At 45.8% G+C, this 18,704-nt stretch overlaps 1 long non-coding RNA gene across 1 annotated transcript, besides 2 other annotated features; it reads left to right on the top strand.

The window, feature by feature from the left end:
• The first annotated feature begins 890 nt into the window (after positions 1 to 890).
• On the top strand, positions 891 to 3,225 carry LOC124903003 (uncharacterized). The gene is made up of 2 exons (XR_007063434.1): positions 891 to 1,995; positions 2,953 to 3,225. It is a non-coding gene; the product is annotated as an uncharacterized LOC124903003 (long non-coding RNA).
• Positions 13,628 to 13,687: an enhancer, noted in NCBI's record as "active region_6910". NCBI's record gives its function as "activates an Ori minimal core promoter by ATAC-STARR-seq in GM12878 lymphoblastoid cells {active_cell/tissue: GM12878}" and the evidence as "EXISTENCE:reporter gene assay evidence [ECO:0000049][PMID:35858748]".
• Positions 15,661 to 16,572: an enhancer, noted in NCBI's record as "OCT4-NANOG hESC enhancer chr12:104808107-104809018 (GRCh37/hg19 assembly coordinates)". NCBI's record gives its function as "activates a minimal SCP1, AML or CMV promoter by ChIP-STARR-seq in naive and primed H9 embryonic stem cells {active_cell/tissue: H9 hESC(naive and primed)}" and the evidence as "EXISTENCE:reporter gene assay evidence [ECO:0000049][PMID:30033119]".

Consider the following 18,704-nt stretch of genomic DNA (forward strand, 5'->3'; position numbering starts at 1 on the left):
AGTCTCGCCCTGTTGCCCAGGCTGGAGTGAATTGGCTCAATCTCGGCTCACTGCAACCTCCACTTCCTGGGTTCAGGTGATTCTCCCACCTTAGCCTCCTGAGTAGCTGAGATTACAGGCACCTGCCATCATGCCTGGCTAATTTTTATAGAGACGGGGTTTCACCATGTTGGCCAGGCTGGTCTCGAACTCCTGACCTCAGATGATCCACCCAGGCTGGAGTGAACTGGCGCAATCTCGGCTCACTGCAACCTCCACTTCCTGGGTTCAGGTGATTCTCCCACCTTAGCCTCCTGAGTAGCTGAGATTACAGGCACCTGCCATCATGCCTGGCTAATTTTTATAGAGACGGGGTTTCACCATGTTGGCCAGGCTGGTCTCGAACTCCTGACCTCAGATGATCCGCCTGCCTCGGCCTCCCAAAGTGTTGGGATTACAGGCGTGAGCCTCTGCACCCAGCTGATTGCAAGTTTTGGATATGTACAATGCACATAAGTATCTATTTTTGTGATAATACTTCTCACTAATTTTTCAAATGGTAGTTAGCTACCAATATATAGAATCTAAATACTCTCCATGAGCCACCTTAAAACAAAGTTATTTAAGGCATCTTCAAAAATCAGATTCTAGGCCGGGTATGATGGCTCACACCTGTAATCCCAGCACTTTAAGAGGCCGAGGCAGGTGGATGGCTTGAGCCCAGGAGTTCAAGACCAGCCTGAGCAACATACAGAAACCCCGTCTCTATTAAAAACACAAAAATTAGCTGTGCGTGGTGGTGCTTGCCTGTAGTCCTAGCTACTTGGGAGGCTAAAGTGGGAGGATCACTTGAGCCCAGGAAGTTGAGGCTGCAGCGAGCCGTGATCACGCCGCCGCACTCCAGTGTGGGTGATGGGAGTGAGACCCTGTCTAAAAAAAAAAAAAAAATCAGATGTTATAATAATTTTAGTCATAATTATTTCTGGAAATGGAAAACATCAAATACAGTACCAACCCATGAATTCTGATGTCTCACTTTTAGAATTTCTCTATTCTTTGCTTTCAATTTGCACAAAAACCAGAATAAAATTTATCTTTGTATGTCTGTGACGAAAAGATTATTTGCTGGAGCAACTGGACAGGACAAACCATTTAAGAGAATGTGCTTTTTAGCATTTAAGGACTTATATGTTAATGAAGTAATTCACTGTTAAAAGTTTGCCCAACTTCCTGAGGTTTTGAATGATGATAGCTTAAATGGAGATCAAAAGTAAGATATGGAACCAAGAGAAATGAAGGAGGTGAAATCAGCAGGCTGTGGTGATTGGCTAGAAGTTGGAGTAAGGAAGAGGGTAGTGTACAGATATTGTATGGTGCTCATCGTCTCTTGGCAGGAAAGGTGCTCATCCTTTATAAAACCAAAGGATTGTTGTGGAGAACAGCTGCTAGGTCTCCACACAAAATCCAACCGTTATTAATCTCAGCCATTCTGATCATTCCATGGGAAGCCCCTGCCCACGACTTGTTTAGGAATGGGCATGTGACACAATCCTGGCAAAAGACTATTAAGTAGAAACTTTCCTTTCTGTGTGTGTTGCCTGGAACCAGGCAGCCATCTTGGGACTACAGTGGAGTTCCATGAAGAGATCAGGAAGAGATCAAGCCAAGGGCTGAGGGCGGTCAAGTGGGAAGACAGAGGGACTTGGGTCCTTAGATTGTGTGGTTGAACCACCACATTTGCCAATCCTGAAACCCCCACATGTGGGGACTTGTTTTTATAGGAAGTGGGACATTTTCTAGTGGTTTAAGTCATTTTGAGTTGGGTTTTCTGTTACTTGCAGCTAAATGCACTCTGAGACAGGGACATTCTAGAAGAAGCTCCAGTTTTCTGGCTTTATGAGTGGATCCATTTTCTATAACAGCACATTCAGAAGGAGAAGGCAACAGGCCTTGGGAAGTGGGGAGAAAGGATGACCTTGGTTCAGGACATGCTTAGCAGTGCTGGAGGGACACCAGGTGAGGACATCTGCTGAAGGTTTGAGGTGCAGATCTGGAGGTCAGGAGTGAGTTCACAGGAGATAGCACTATGGCAATCCTTGAGGGGCACAGAGAGAGGGAGGTTGAAACATAGGCTTTGGCTTGGATCCAGCCTTACTTCTTAATACCTGTGTCACCTGGGGAAAGGCACTTCTTTTTTTTTTTTTTTTTTTTTTTTTGAGATGGAGTTTTGCTCTTGTTGCCTCTAGGCTGGAGTGCAATGGTGCGATCTCAGCTCACCGCAACCTCTGCCTCCCGGGTTCAAGCAATTCTCCTGCCTCAGCCTCCCGAGTAGCTGGGATTACAGGCATGCGCCACCACACCCGGCTAATTGTGTATTTTTAGTCGAGACAGGGTTTCTCCATGTTAGTCAGGCTTGTCTCAAACTCCCAATCTCAGGTGATCCGCCCACCTCAGCCTCCCAAAGTACTGGGATTACATGCATGAGCCACTGTGCCCAGCCTTTTTAAATTTTTTTTTTTAATTTTTGTTGTTGTTGTTTTTGTTGTTGTTGAGACAGAGTCTCACTCTGTCACCCAGGCTGGAGTGCAGTGGCATGATCTCGGCTCACTGCAACCTCGGCCTGCTGGGCTCAAGTGATTCTCATGCCTCAGCCTCCTGAGTAGCTGGGATTACAGGCGCCCGCCACCATGCCAGGCTAATTTTTGTATTTTCAGTAGAGACGGGGTTTCACCATGTTGGCCAGGCTGTTCTCAAACTCCTGACCTCAGGTGATCCTCTCGCCTCGGCCTCCCAAAGTGCTGGGATTACAGGCATGAGTTACCACACTCAGCAGCACTTCGCTTTTTAAAGCCTCTATTTCCTCCCTTGTAAAATGGAAATTCTTGCCTTAGTGTTTCCAAAGTAGAAATTCTTATCTGTGTGTGGCAGAGACCATGCTAGATCTTCAGCAAAACTTGTTTTTCTTTCCTCCAGGGCCCATGGACAAACCACACATGCCAGTGTCCCCACTGTTAGGGAGGGGTCATATTGATGGACTCTGACCAATAGCATGTGATGAATTCTCTTCCTACACCTGTCAGCTGGGAGCTGAGAATCCAGGGGGAAGCTTCTAAGGCTCCAGGAGGATGAGCTTTTAGATGGAAGGAACCTGAGTCCCTGAGTGACTTGGTGGAGAACCTCCACCCCCTAATCAGCTACACTGGACGTGACATGATTGAAAAATAAACATTGGGCATGTTGCTTTTATAGCAGCTAGCATTCCTTACCCAGGCCCATCTACCCAGCATTTCCCAGTGTCTGATACACAAGATGATTTCAGTATACCCAAACAGTTTAAAATGTTCACTTCTTACACATTTGTTTTATAGGTATGCTTTCTTGATGTATTACATATTTGTTTTATAGGTATTTCTTTATTAACAAAGAACCATAGACTGGGTGGCTTAAGCAACATTTATTTCTCACAGTCCTGGAGGCTGGAAGTCCAAAATCAGGGTGCCAGCAGGGTTGGGTTCTGGTGAGGGCCCTCTCCCAGATTGTAGACTGTCAACTTCCTGTTGCATCCTCACATGATGGAAAGATGGCTAGAGAGCTCTCTGGGGTCTCTTTTTTGAAAAAATTTTGTTTATTTATTTATTTATTTATTTTTATTTTACTTTACATTCTGGGATACATGTGCAGAGCGTGCAGGTTTGTTGCATAGGAATACATGTGCCATGGTGGTTTGCTGCATCTATCAACCCATCATCTAGGTTTTAAGCCCTACATGCATTAGGTATGTGTCCTAATGCTCTCCCTCTGCTTGCCCCCCTTCCCCCAACAGGACCTGGTGTGTGATGTTCCCCTCCCTGTGCCCATGTGTTCTCATTTTTCAACTCCCACTTATGAGTGAGAACATGTGGTATTTGGTTTTCTGTTGCTGTGTTAGTTTGCTGAGAAGGATGGCTTCCAGCTTCATCCATGTCTCTGCAAAGGACATGAACTCATTCTTTTTTATGGTATGGTATAGTATTGGTATAGTATGGTATAATATGGTATAGTATTCCATCACGTATGTGTGTCTGGGGTTCGTTTTATAAGGACACCAATTCTATTCATGAGGGCTCCACCCTCCTGACCTAATCAACTCCTAAAGGCCCTACCTCCTAATACCATCCCGTTGAGGTTTAGGGTTTTGACACATGAATTTGAGGGGTCACACACATTCAGACCACAACAAAGTATTAAATACACACACACAAAAACCTCATCAGCCTTATGATTTCAGAGATATTATCACTTAGGACAAGGATTGGTTTAATTATGCAAGTTGGTTAAAGAAAAATGTCAAGTAAATAACAAAAGGTAGCAGGTGGAAATGGCAAAAATTGTGACAGTGACACACAGGCTGGCTTACTCCATGTGGTTATTGTGAGGCTCAAATGACATCGTGTATGTGAAGTCCCTCTCGTGAGCTGGCCTAGGGGGCCAAGGCAGGTGGATCGATTGAGCCCAGGAGTTTGAGACAAGCCTTGGCAACGTGGCAACACCCCATCTCTACAAAAAGTACAAAAAATTAGCCAGGCATGGTGATGTGCACCTGTAGTCCCAGCTACCCAGGAGGCTGAGGTGGGAGGACTGCTTGAGCCCGGAAGGTGGAGGCTGCAGTGATCTGTGATTGTGCCACTGCACTCCAGCCTGGATGATAGAGTAAGACCTTGTCTCTACAGCAACAACAAAAGTCCCTCTCCTGGTCCGGCGCATAGTAAGTATGTGACAAATAGTAGCTCTCATCTTGTAATATGCAACCTGCATTACAGGATGGATTCCACCACCTCTGGTTTGCTGTTTACTTGCCTACTGCCCTTCATCTCTGAATCTCTAGTAGTAGCTCCATGCCCAGCACCTAATGGGGCCACATAAATAGAGACTGAGTGTTAATTATTAAAGGGGCATAACATCCTTTCCAGAATCACAGATTTGAGTACACTGGGCTATGAGCCCTGTGCAGACAAGAACTACATGTGTCTGACTGAGTGCTGTATCCCCAGCATCCAACCCAGAACCCAGTGCTTGGTTGGTGCTCAAGAAATATTTGTTATGAATGAACATACTTATCTGAATTCCTCTCATAGACTCCTACACTGCCCAACCTGGCCTGAGCCTTGAGAACAATACTTCTTAGCTAAAGAAGAGGAAAGTAGTCTGGGCACGGTGGGTCACACCTGTAATCCCAGCACTTTGGGAGGCCGAGGCGGGCGGATTACCTGAGGTCGGGAGTTCGAGACCAGCCTAACCAACATGGAGAAACCCCATCTCTACTAAAAATACAAAATTAGCCGGGTGTGGTGGCACATGCCTGTAATCCCAGCTACTTGGGAGGCTGAGGCAGGAAAATCGCTCGAACTCAGGAGGCAGAGGTAGCAGTGAGCCGAGTTCGTGCCATTGCACTCCAGCCTGGGCAACGAGAGCGAAACTCCATCTCAAAAAAAAAAGAGGAAAGTAAAAGTATGAAGAAGCAAAGTGACTTCACAAAGTCACACAGGTATGGGAATGTGCAGTGGGGTTTTTGAAAGTCACATGGGACATGAAGCAGTTCTTTGCTGTGCAAGACTGTCCCAGGCATTGCCTGCCAATGCCCATGAAAGCCAATGGTGTCTCTAATCATTGTGATAATCAGAGATGCTCTGGAAGATCTCCAAAACACCTCATAGGGACAGTACCCCCCTGGGAACTGCAGATCCAGCCTGTCCTTCCAAATGGATGAAGAAACTAAGACCCATGGAGGAAGACAGGCTTCCTCAAATGATGAAGCCAGCATTTGGAACAAATTCCTGACACTGGATTATGAATCTTTCTCTAGGGCCAGGCAGGTGGCTCATATCTGTAATCCCAGCATCTTGGAAGGCTGAACTGGGAGGATTGCTTGAGCCTAGGAGTTCAAGACCAGCCTGGGCAATAGAGCAAGACCCTGTCTCTATAAAAAATTAAAAAATTAGCCAGACATGGTGGCTTATGCCTGTAGTCCCAGTCACTTGGGAGGCTGAGGTGGGAGGATGACTTGAGCCAAGGAGGTCACGATCAGGCCACTGGACTCCAGCCTAGACAACAGAGTGAGACCTTGTCTCAAATTTAAAAAAAAAACAAAAAACTTTTTCTCCAATCATTGAGAGTAGGACTTGTTCAGATCATAAAGGAAGCTCCTGGAGGGACAGGGGCTTGGGGCCCATCAGGACTCAGCACCGCAGGGTGGTACTAAGGCAACTCCCATGAGCTGATGAGGAGGGAAGCCCCTGGGATGCTCTGGCCTCTGCCCCTGTCCCTTCTCCGCTGCGGCTCAGCCCTGCCTGGGGAGGAGAGCAGCAAGGGGGTGGGAGGGTGTGGGCAGAGATAAATCTGCTCCCAGGCAAAAGCTGGCTCTGACTCCTAATAGAACTGAGATGAGTGCGTGTATTTTAAAGCAAATAAATGTTTCAAGACCTGAGAAGGGAGACGTTAATGGCTCCATTCGAATTCAGCAGAATTTATTTTCCATTAGGGTTGGGCTTTCTGAGAAGCTTGGTTCAATCAAGGTTAGACATGAAAACAGCACTGTGGCTGAGTGGACACCAAGTTCCCCTCCACCCACTGCACCTTGCTTAATTAGAGCTCCTGACCTGCAGCCGCCCTTGGCTGGCCCACAGACAGATGCGCTAGTCTTTTTTGCTCTTTTTGTTTTTTTCTTTTTTTTTTTTTGAGACAGAGTCTTGCTCTGTCGCCCAGGCTGGAGTGCAGTGGCGCGATCTCGGCTCACTGCAAACTCTGCCTCCCGGGTTCACACCATTCTCCTGCTTCAGCCTCCCAAGTAGCTGGGACTACAGGCGCCTGCCACCATGCCCGGCTATTTTTTTGTATTTTTAGTAGAGACGGGGTTTCACCGTGTTATCCAGGATGGTCTTGGTCTCCTGACCTCGTGATCTGCCCACCTCGGCCTCCCAAAGTACTGGGATTACAGGCGTGAGCCACCGCGCCCGGCCACTCTTTTTGTTTTTTTCTATGTTGGATAAGATTATCTTTTCAAACTTATTTTCACAATCAGCACTGAGATGACCAACTAGCCAAGCTGCCCCGTGTGCCTGCCACCTCTCCATCCACGGGTGCCTGCCAGCCGGTAATGAGAAGTTTGCCTTGCCCTTTAGAACCATTATTTTAAACAATGAATGGTGTTTGCAGAAGTGAGATTGCGAATAGAGATTCATAATGAATAGCTTCAGCAATAATTACTTATTTTCTATATTTATCGAAAATGACTACATACAGTATTGCTGTTTTCTCTGAAGAGAAAAATGCAGTAATTATCATCGCTATTTATCTACTTTCCTATTTTAATAACTAGCAATTGCCATTTTTTAATTACTAGGGCAAAAAAAATGGTTGCCTCTTAGCTGAGATGGCTCTAGTGTCACGAAGAATGCACTTCCACACTAATATCAGTAACGTTGTGTGCAGAGAATAAATATAAGGTGTTTGGGTTTCTTGCCATTCAACCAGTTTGTTAGGCCTGTGACAGAAGCAGCAACTTGGGGTTGAAATGGTTTGTCTTCAGAGCTGTAGGGGAACCACGTCTCTTAACAAAGGTGATATAGTCCAGTAGCATATGTTTATTTATGTCCAATGATGTACTGATAAATGTATAACAACCAGCTTTCCAGTGGGAGAAGGAGCTCTGACATGTAGCATTGGCCAATTACTGTGGTGTAAATACTCCCATCATGGCAGATTTTAAGATACCAACCCTACATCATGAAATACACATTTGGGACCAGAGGCATGCAATTGACTCTCTCATGCTGGAGTCAGCCAGCTCTAGCACATCACTGGATATTAATTCTATGGTATATTTATTTATTTATTTATTTATTTGAGACAGGGTCTGGCTCTGTTGCCCAGGCTGAAGTGCAGTGATCTTGGCTCACTGTAACCTCCACTTCCTGGGCTCAAGTGATCCTCCCATCTCAGCTTCCCAAGTAGCTGAGATTATAAGTGCACACCACCACACCAGGCTAATGTTTATATTTTTGTAGAGATAGGGTTTTGCTATGTTGCCCAGGCTGGTCTTGAACTCCTGAGCTCAAGCAATCTGCCCACCTCAGCCTCCCAAAGTGTTGGGATTACAGATGTGAGCCACAGTACCCAGAACATACACATATTTATTGAGGGCCTCTTGTGTGCCAGGCAGTGTCCCAATTGCTGATGTGACAGCAATGAATGAAACAGGTGGCCCCTGCTCTAGTGAAATTTAGATTGAGTAGGAGAGACAAGACAACCACCAAAGGAACTGGTAAATACATAACACAATGTTGAGGAGTGGTGAGTGACAACTGGAGTGGAGTAGGAGGGCAGGCTGGGATGGGGTGAGGGTGGGAGCTCTTTTGCATATAGTGGACATGAATGTCCTCCCTAAAGGGTGTCATGAGCATAAATTTGAATGAAGTGAAGGAGAGAGTTTGTGAGGATTCCTGGGCAAAGAGCATTCTAGGGAGAAGGAAAAACCAACATCAATTCTATGAGGTGGGAGGCAGGAGGATGCCTGGGGGTTGCTTTTAATCTGTGTTTCTGAAGGTCTCAAGATCTGGGAAGTCTGGGGTATCTTCTAAGATGACACAGATATATTTCTTTTCTTGCTCTGCTCCAGTGAAGCATTCTTGCTCTAAATTTCAGCAGGGCTTGAGACCTGGGGGTGACCCATGACTCTCCCTCCCTCCATTTCCTGCAGGATATGATATTCTCACATTTCTTCTCATGTCCTTGCATACCTGCAGCTCATTTGATTTCCTTGTAGACACTGGCTCCTGACCTCCTCATTCCTCTTACATTGAAACTTATGCCCCCGCCTGGAATGGCAACCCGGGGGGGAAAGGGTTTGTTCACTCCTGACTTTCCGTCCCCTAGAACAGTGCCTGCCTCACAGTCAACACTTGGTAAATATTCATTGAATTCATTAACACAGGAGATGCAAGCATCTAATTATTTCATTAGGACTTCCAGTAAGGTCTTGCCTGAGCTAGGAGCCCACGCCCTCAATGCTGTATCCCCCTTCCTGACAGTTTTCTTTGCTGTTCTGCACTGACACCCTTGCCTGGAGGTAGACACTCATAAACACTGTGGAATGATTGACAGCATGGATATTGTTTTATTCTACATTACGTCTGTTTTTATCCTAAATTACTTTTATTCCTTCTTCATAGTATAGATAGGACATTCTATTGATTTTTTTTAAATTGTGTGTGCAGGAAGGTAAAATTATCTGTAAATTTCATTTCCACATAGTGAAGGAAGCATGGAAATCTTTTGTTCTCTAAAGGGGCTGCCATATCTGAGAGGCATAAGAATGATAGGCTGGACAGAATGATTTTCATTAATGGACTATTTCAATAGGCCCTAGGGGTCACCTTGAGCATTCCTGAAGCCACAAGAGAACTACCTGGATAGTTGACCACCAGGGGAAGTGTTGGGGACATTGGGAAACTCAAGGAAGACTGCTGATGACGTCAATGAGACACATCCCAGACAATGGCAGGGCTTCCTTTCTGGGCATGTCCAGTGCACACGGGCTGGAATCATGAGAGGGGACTTTCAGCTCCAGTGCTTTTAGAACCTGTTCAACGATTCGGAGTGGGGGTTTGAAGTGAGTTTCTCACTTCATGCCACATTTGATCTTCAGTGCACAAAGAAAGTACAAAGCCAGAGAGGTGAGCCAAGAGGCAAAGGCCCTTTACTCTGGGAGCTAAGTCTTGTTGGGTTTAAGCATGGATCAGTCTTCTCAGTGCTAATGATGAGATCGGGAAGTGTATTGATATTGCAGGTGTTTTAAGCATGAAGATGAAACAGACGTTTCTTTTTATCTATTCATCAGTGACTAGAAAAGTCTCTCGGCTCGGGAGATTTTGTTGTTTTATTCTATTTTTTTTTTCCACACTGACTTCTTGTGTAAAGAAACTCATGGCAGCACCTAATCTTCAGAAATAAGTGACTGGCAGCTCAGTGTTGAGAAATTATACTAAGGACGGGCACTGTGGGACTATCACTGGCCCTGTCTGGGCCATTTGGCAGTCAGTCAAGGCTGGAATAGTGAGTCACCCTCGGGGTTAGAGATAAGGAAGCTAGGCTCAGGGAAGAATGGAGTTGCCTGGGACCAACCTTCTGGTAAGAGACAGCCCCGGGCTGGGACACAAGCTTCCTGACTGCTGTTATCTTCTTCGCGGAGTTGATAGAAGGCAGGAGCTGGATTGTGTGAGTGTTCTCTCCAGAGAGACAGAACCAACAGGGAGTGTGTGTGTGTGTGTGTGTGTGTGTGTGTGTGTGTGTGTGTGTAGAGAGAGACTTTAAGAAATTGGCTTTCACAATTGTGGAGGCTCGATAAGTCCAAAATCTGATGGGATAGGCCAGCAGGCTGGAGACTCCGTGAAAAGTTGCAGTTCAAGTCCAAGGTCAGCCGGCTGGAAGAATTCCTTCTTGCTCCGAAGGTTGGTCTTTGTTTTATTCAGGCCTTCAACTGATTGGATGAGGGCCACTCACATTATAGGTGGCAATCTGCTTTACTCAAAGTCCACCAATTTTAATGTTAATCTCATAAAAAAAAATACCCACCTTCACAGAAACATCCAGAATGATTGACCAAATATTTGGGCACCATAGCCCAGCCATGTTGACACATAAAATCAATCCTCACACACACCTTAATTTTAAAATGTGTTTTAAATAATAGTAAATGCAATAGATATTCAGTATAGAAATTTTAAAATTGCAAACAAATATAAAAAAGAAAACTTTCCACTTCACCAGGGTGCATTGGGATATTGCCTTAAGAATTAATTCTAGGCATACTTACACTATAATATTTTCATACCTCGGAATGGTGTCATTTCACAGTAGTGTTTTGCAGCTTACTTTTTTCACTTAGCAAGACTCTATGAATTTTTCCCCAGGTTAACAGATGTCATTCCACATCCTGATTTTTAATGTTGGCACAGCATCTGTCTGATGCCAGCTGTAGTGAATGGCTTTGCTCCCTGCTCGACATCCTTCCTCCTTTTTCTGCTAACAGCATCAGATTTTCTTTTAGGGATCTCCCCTGCCCCAACTCCCAGGCCATGTGGTTCAGGTGGGGCTAAATCCTACCTCCTGAGCCCTCTTTGGCCTAGGACCAAAGTCCTCAATATTGAGAAAGAGGGCCGGGCACAGTGGCTCACACCTGTACTCCCAGCACTTTGGGAGGCTGAGGCGGGTCGATCACCTGAGGTCAGGAGTTTGAGACCAGTCTGGCCAAAGTGGTGAAACCCCATCTCTACTAAAAACACAAAAATCAGCCTGGCGTGGTGGCGCCTGCCTATAATCCCAGCTACTCAGGAGGCTGAGGCACAAGTATCACTTGAACCTGAGAGGCAGAGGTTGTGATGAGCCAAGATCACGCCACTGCACTCCAGCCTGGGAGACAGAGTGAGATTATCTCAAAAAAAAAAAAATTGAGAAAGAGGGTTCTTTTTTCCAGGTTGTTAGGCTGGTTCACTATAGGTCTGGAACTGCTGGAGGCCATTTTTGTCAATACGTGGACTTGGTCCTAAAGATGAAGCCAGAATGGAGGAAAGCAAATAAGAGAACTGGAGAGAAACAGATTCCTGATTACATATTATAGTTTGAACACCTGGATCCAGCCATGCCTGAAGCTATTCTCCTACACTTTTCCATTATGGGAGATAAGTTCTCCCTTTCTTTGCTTAAGCCAGTAGAGTTGGATTCTGTCACTTTACCTGCAAAGAGTTCAGAGTCTTATTTGAATATGGTATCACTCTACCTGACATATCCCAGTACATGACTGTATTATTTTCTGTTTTTGTTTTTTTCTTCCTGGCAATTTACCCACTATGAGCAAGATGTTACAAGGGGATTTGGAGATTATAAAAATGACTAAGAGGCCAGGCATAGTGGCTCATGCCTGTAATCCCAACAATTTGGGAGGCTGAGGCAGGAGGATTGTTTGAGCCCAGTAGTTTGAGACCAGCCTGGGCAACATAGTGAGACCCTGTCTCTGTAAAAAATAGAAAAACTAGCTGGCTGTGGAGGCATGCACTTGTAGTCCCAGCTACTTAGGAGGCTGAGGTGGGAGGATTGCTTGAGCCCACAAGGTCAAGGCTACAGTGAGCTGTGATCGTGCCACCATACTCTAGCCTGTGCCACAGAGTGAGACCCTGTCTCAAATAAAACAAAACAAACAAAAAATAAAAAACTAAAGTAAAAATGACTAAGACATACTCTTGGACCTCAAATAGTTTGATTCAGTAACTAGGGCCAAGTACATATTAGTCACCTAAAAGATTGTAAATTTCAACAGCTTATAAGGATCAAGACAGGCTTCCTAGAGGAATAAGCACTAGGCATTGACCTCAAAAAGAGGGAGAGATCATTTAAAATTCCTTTTCATGGCCTATAAGGCCCTATGTGGCCTTGTCCTGGCCACAGTTGTAATGTGCATATGTATTGCCTGGGATCTTACTAAAATGCAAATTCTGGGTGTGGTGGCTCACGCTTGTAATCCTAGCACTCTGGGAGGCTGAGGCGGGAGGATCACTTGAGGTCAGGAGTCCAAAACCAGCCTGGCCAACATGGTGAAACCCCGTCTCTACTAAAAATATAAAAAATTAGCAGGGCCTGGTGTCGGGTGCCTGCAATCCCAGCTACTTGGGAGGCTGAGGCAGGAGAATTGCTTGAACCCCAGAAGCAGAGGTTGCAGTGAGCCGAGATGGCACCAGTGCATTCCAGCCTGGGCAATAGAGCAAGACTCTGTCTAAAAATAATAATAATAATAATGAAATAAAATAAAATAAAATGCAAATTCTGATTCAGTAGTCCTCTGGTGGTGCCAAATTTCTGCATTTCTAGCAAGTTCCAGGTGAGGTGGGTCTGTAGGCTGCACTATGAATGGGAGGATCTGGCCCTTCCTCCTCCTGCATCATCTCCCACCCCGACCCCTCTGCTCAGCCCCAGGGACTCCTTTCTGCTTTCGCTGCACCTGCAGCTCTGCCACACCTGCTGGCCTCCATGCCTGGATTGCTCTTCCCTGAACCTTCTTACCTGGGGCTTCTCTTCCATCTCAGCTCAAACGCCAAGGCAGCAGCCAGGCCACTGGCGGCGCCCATTTCACATGGGACTTCCCCAGCACTCATGCTTTTCAAGCCTTTTTCACATTATGGCAGAGGCAGAAACAGTACTCTGTGTGGCTTGCTGGCCTGAATGGATAAGCCAGAGGGGGTAGCGGAAACTTCCAGGGGCTCCCCATTTTGCACATCTGTAATCCACTCACAGCGCATGATCAGGAAGGTCAGCTGAACCTGTTTTACCACTTTCATAGCAATTGCTGGGATCTGTGATGATGGCGTTGATTGACTTGTTCACTGCCTGCCTTTTCCAGTAAAGAATAAAGCCCTGTAACACACAACCCCGTTCCATTGCTCTCTCTTCAGTGGTGTCTGGCATGGCAGGCACTCAACAGACCCTCCTCCTGAGAATTTCCAGCAAAAGGAATATCATGAGCAAAAGTGGGGAATGGAGTGAGTCACACAGATCAGCTGCAGCCTGAGCACAGCATGTGTGGGAGGTGATAGGCAGTGAGGAAGGCGGTGATGAAGACCCGATGCTTAATCTGGGAGGTGATGGGGAGCTATGACCAGATGTGATTGGGGCTACCGAGGCGTGTCCGTCTGGCTGGTGGGGACAGGGAGAGGGAGAAAGTAGGCCAGTCATATGGTTTGGCTGTGTCCCCACCCAAATCTCATTTTGAATAGTAGTTCCTATAATCCCACGTGTTGTGGGAGGGATTGGGTGTGAGGTAATTGAGCCATGGGGGCGGTTACCTCCATGCTGTTCTCGTGACACTGAGTGTGTTCTCGCAAGATCTGATGGTTTTATAAGGGGCTTTTCCCGCCTTCGCTCTGCCTTTCTCCTTGCTGTCGCCATGTGAAGAAGGATATATTTGCTTCCCCCTTCTGCCATGATTATAAGTTTCCTGGGTTCTTCCCAGCCCTGTGAAACTATGAGTCAATTAAACCTCTTTCCTTTATAAATTACCCAGTCTGGGGTATGTCTTTATCAGCAGCATGAGAACAGGCTAATACAGCTGGGAACAGGGCGCCAGTAGCCACCAGACAGCTCTTCAGGCTCCTGAGGTGAAAGTGGGTGTGGCCGTGGAAAGGGAAGGACGGAATGCATGCGAAGGGTGGGGGCACCGGGAGCGAGGAGGATGGTGGGAGGCACGATTTGGTGGTGGAGTGGGGAAGAGACCAGGGCTGTGGACTTAAATAGGGAGGTTTCAGACCAGAAACAGGAGGTGTTAGGGAGACGCAAGTTCTGAGGGGAAACTTGAGTGAAAACAGAAGAATTCTTCAGCTCACTGATTCTCATTTGGAGAACTGGTTGAGTTGTATCACCTGCAGTCTCAGATTTAAGAGAAGGGTCAGCTGGCGACACTGACCCCCCCATACGCAGAGGGGACCCGGGAGCCCAGCAGACCTCAGAGTCGCCCAGGTGAGCCCCTCCCAGCTGCGCTTCACTGAGGCATCACCTACTGGCTCCGAACTTCAGTTTCTCAGATGTAAAATGGGGTGATAAGTGGGCCTTGCAGAACAGTTGTGCAGTAGAGAGAGCTTGTGCAGGTGGGTGACTCATAGCAGGACGCGGTGTGGGGTAGGTGTCCTGGATGTCATGTTGGGCTGCCCAGGCCCCTCCAGGACCAAATCACTTATTGTCCCAGTTGTTGGACTTGTTGGTAGCTGATGGCTAATAGCTGCATCCCCACACGACCTTGCCTCACCCCAGGACATCTCCTTCCCTGGGGTCAGCCACTTTGGATGGGCTAGGCCCTCTGCTGTGATTGCGCCATCATCCAGCCTCTCCCTCTTTCCAATCCTGTATCCTTGACTCCCCTTACAGGACAGGTTTTGTGTAGTCCCCAATAAATGTCCTGCATGCAAATCTCAATCTCAGAGTCCACTTTCCCGGGAACCCAACGGATAGTAGTATCTTGGCAGAATGATTCTAAGCCACTGGAATAGATATTTCTGGTTGGCCAGAATCTTAAAGACTGTACTGCAAATTTTCAGTCCAGAAGCTGAGAAGGGAAGCAATGTGTTGGAGGACTAGCCTATGAGGCAAAAGGTTCTCAGACATGTCCAAAATTCTTTTTTTGTATTATGGACCCCTTCTTAAATTAATGTTTGTAAATGCCTAAAATAAAAGACATAGGATTGTAAAGGAAACCCACTCTATTGCAATATAGTTATCAAACCATTATGAAATGGATTTATTACATATTAATATATGACATAGCAATATAGAAATTACTATGATACAGTAATATAGTTAATGAAAGATCCATCAGTGGGATGAATCATCTAGAAGAGACAATGAATATTAATGATATCTCAAGATATGCACAGCAGTTATACCGGGATATGAAAATATCTGACTTCCGTTGATGACAAAATCACAGGTTTTGCAAATACTGAGGTCAATGAAAATAAAGAAGTAATTTTTCCCCACCCAAAATCTAGATTCCCTGAATTATATGCAAGGACTCCCTGGGAGTCTGTGGACCTCAGGTTATAAAAAAATAAAAAATAAATAAATAAATAAATAAAAAACAACAAAAAAAACCCCTTAGCGTTATAAGGTCTGCAATCTACTGTAAGATACGTAGTTCTAGGTGGCATGGCGTGATATACCTGTGTGTGTTTGTGCTGTGAATTAAATATATATGTCCCCGTAAAATTCCTGTGTTGAAGCCTAATCCCCAGTGTGATATTAGGAGGTGGGGCCTTTGGGAGGTGATTAGGTCATGAAAGTGGAGCCCTCATGAATGGAATTGGTGCCCTGATGAGAAGAGGTCAGAGCGGTAGCTTGCTCTCTTTCTGGCATGTGAGGATACAAGAAGAAGATAGCCATCTGCATGCCAGAAAGCTGGTCCCCACCAGGCGTTCAGATCTGCCGGCACCTTGATCTTGGGCTTCCCAGCTTCCAGAACTGTGAGAGATCAATGTTTGTTGTTTAAACCACCCAGTGAATGGTAATCTGTTATAGCAGCTCAACTGACTAAGCCAGTTAGGAATCTACACCCCAGGGGTGATTAATTAACATTCACGCAGAAGGGTCACACCTCAGGACACCTGCTGCTAGCTCTTCTGTTTTCCATATCACTGACCAACACCAGGTGTCTTACTAATTAGCACAGAGAATAGCAGAAGTAGGTTTTTATTGGTAAAACTTGTGGCTAACAACCTAATAGATGTAAGAAATGGGCTCTTGTTCATAAAATTAGTGGTGTTCAAAATTAGGGAATTGGCTGAAATGTTTTTGAGACACCACATGCTGGGACGATTGGGGTATAAGAATCCAACAAGGCTTGTCCTTCTTCCATAGGGACGTTGCCTGAGGCTTAATTCCTATCTGCCCTGTGTCTAATCATGGGGCTGGAGGATATCTGGTTGCCTAATATCAATCCTATGCATAACAGGATCTTGCCTCTGAAATTTTGTTTTCTAATCCTCAAGAAAATGTTCCCTGTAGGGTATTACCAGGAATAGGTCATAGTCCAAACTAATCCTTTTTACCAGTAATCCCTTTATATAAAATCAAGTAGCAATCACAAGACTGGGGTGAAAGAAAATAATACTCTGACGTATTCATCAAGTTATAGGAAAGGAAGTGGGGAGAGGTGAGCGGGAACCCAGCCCACATCATCCTGATAAACACTTTATTTATCCAAAATGTAAGTGAAGGACAAAGTGCTTATCTATCCATGCATCCACTCACTCATTCATTCAACACATGATTTTCAACCACCTACTGTGTGTCAGTCACTGTGCTAGGCGCTGGGGGATAGTAAAGTACAGGAGAATGAAGGTCTCTTGGATCATAGACTGGTGGGAGAGATGGACATCAAATATGTAATTCCACAAATGATTATATAATTCTAATTGTGATAAGTGTTAAGGAGGAAAATGGAGGATAGCCTGAGAATATAAAATGCGGGGAGGGATGGTATCTAACCTAGCCTGGGAGATTAGGGAAGAACTCCCTGAGGAGGTGACATTAAGCTGAGGCCTGAAGATTGAATCTAACAGGCATGGTGGCTGGGTGCGGTAGCTCACGTCTGTAATCTCAGCACTTCGGGAGGCCAAGGCGGGCAGATCACTTTGAGGTCATGAGTTTGAGATCAGCCTGGCCAATGTGGTGAAACCTCATCTCTACTAAAAATACAAAAATCAGCCGGGTGTGGTGGCACACGTCTGTAATCCCAGGTACTCAGGAGGCTGAGGCAAAAGAATTGCTTGAACCTGGGAGGTGAAGGTTGCATTAAGCCGAGATCACGCCACTGCACTCCAGCCTGGGCTACAGTGTGAGACTCCATCTCAAAAAAAAAAAAAAAAGCATGGCATTGAGCAGGTGAAGGGTGTGCGTGTGTGTGAAGAGCATTCTGTGTAGAGCTAATGCAAATGCCTTCAGGTTGGATGGTTCGGCCAAGTTCAGAAGTAGAAAGAAGCCAGCGGGACTAGTGTGGGTCATAAAGGCAGACAGGTGGGAGAAGAGCCAGGGATTGTGCTGAGAATATAGATATGAATTAGACACAGCCACTGTCTTTGAGGCTCATAATCAAGTGAGAGATCACTGTGCACCTGGGTGAGGCACAGCATGGTAGATCTACCACGGGGCTGGGAAACTTCAGAGAACAAAGTGGCTGATACTGCCTGGAGGAGTGAGGGAAGGCTGCCGAGAGGAGGTGGTATTTGATCTGGGTCTGAGCAATTGCACAGGAGTTTATTAAGCCAAAAGAAAGAGAGAAAAGCGTATGTGAAGGCCAGGGTAGCAGAGCGAATGGAGCATAGGGGATGGTACAGAAAATATCCAAAAATGAGGAGAGACAGAGGAGGGTTGTAGGAGATTGTATTCATTAGTTAATTCATCAACCCAACAAATTGGAGAATGCTAGGCACTGGGAACACAACAATAAGAAGACAAAATTTGCTGCCCACATGTAACTCATATTCTATTCAGGGGAGAGAGTCAATAAACATTTTTTAAAAAGCATAATATGTGCATTCTAAGTGGCAGTGAAGTTCTATTAAGATAAAGTTGGAAATGGGGAGAGAAGTGCAGCCATGTATGAAGGGCTTGCAATTTGATATCTGAATGGTCAGGGAAGACGCACTGAGAAGTGGACCCTGGAGCAAAGGCCTGAAGGAGTAAGGGAGAGAGGCATGCAGATATTTGGGAACAGCAAGTGCAAAGACCCCAAGGTGGGAACATGCCCAGAGTGTCTAAGACAGCAAGAAGGTCAGTGTGGTTGGCGCAGGGTACGCAGAGTGAATAGTTAGAAGTAAGGTCAGTTAGGTGAGAGGGCCTGATCGTGGAGACCTTGTTGACCAGTGGAAAGACTGGGTTTCCTGTAGAGCGACTTGGGAAGGTGCAGAGAGCTTTGTTCAGAGGAGAGGTAAGATATGACTTACATTTTAAAAGAACCATTTTGGCTGCTACATTGAGAACAGATTATGAAGGGACAAGGCAAACACAGAAGGCCATCAGAGAATCTATTGCAATAATCTGGGGGAAGAATGATAGTTAGTTGAGTCAGGGTGGTATCTGTGGAGGTGGTGAGAAGGACTTGAATATATTTTGAAGACAGAGCCAACGGGTCTTGCTGATAAATGTGAAGTGTG

Source organism: Homo sapiens, chromosome 12, assembly GCF_000001405.40.
Source record: "Homo sapiens chromosome 12, GRCh38.p14 Primary Assembly".
Taxonomy (NCBI): domain Eukaryota; kingdom Metazoa; phylum Chordata; class Mammalia; order Primates; family Hominidae; genus Homo; species Homo sapiens.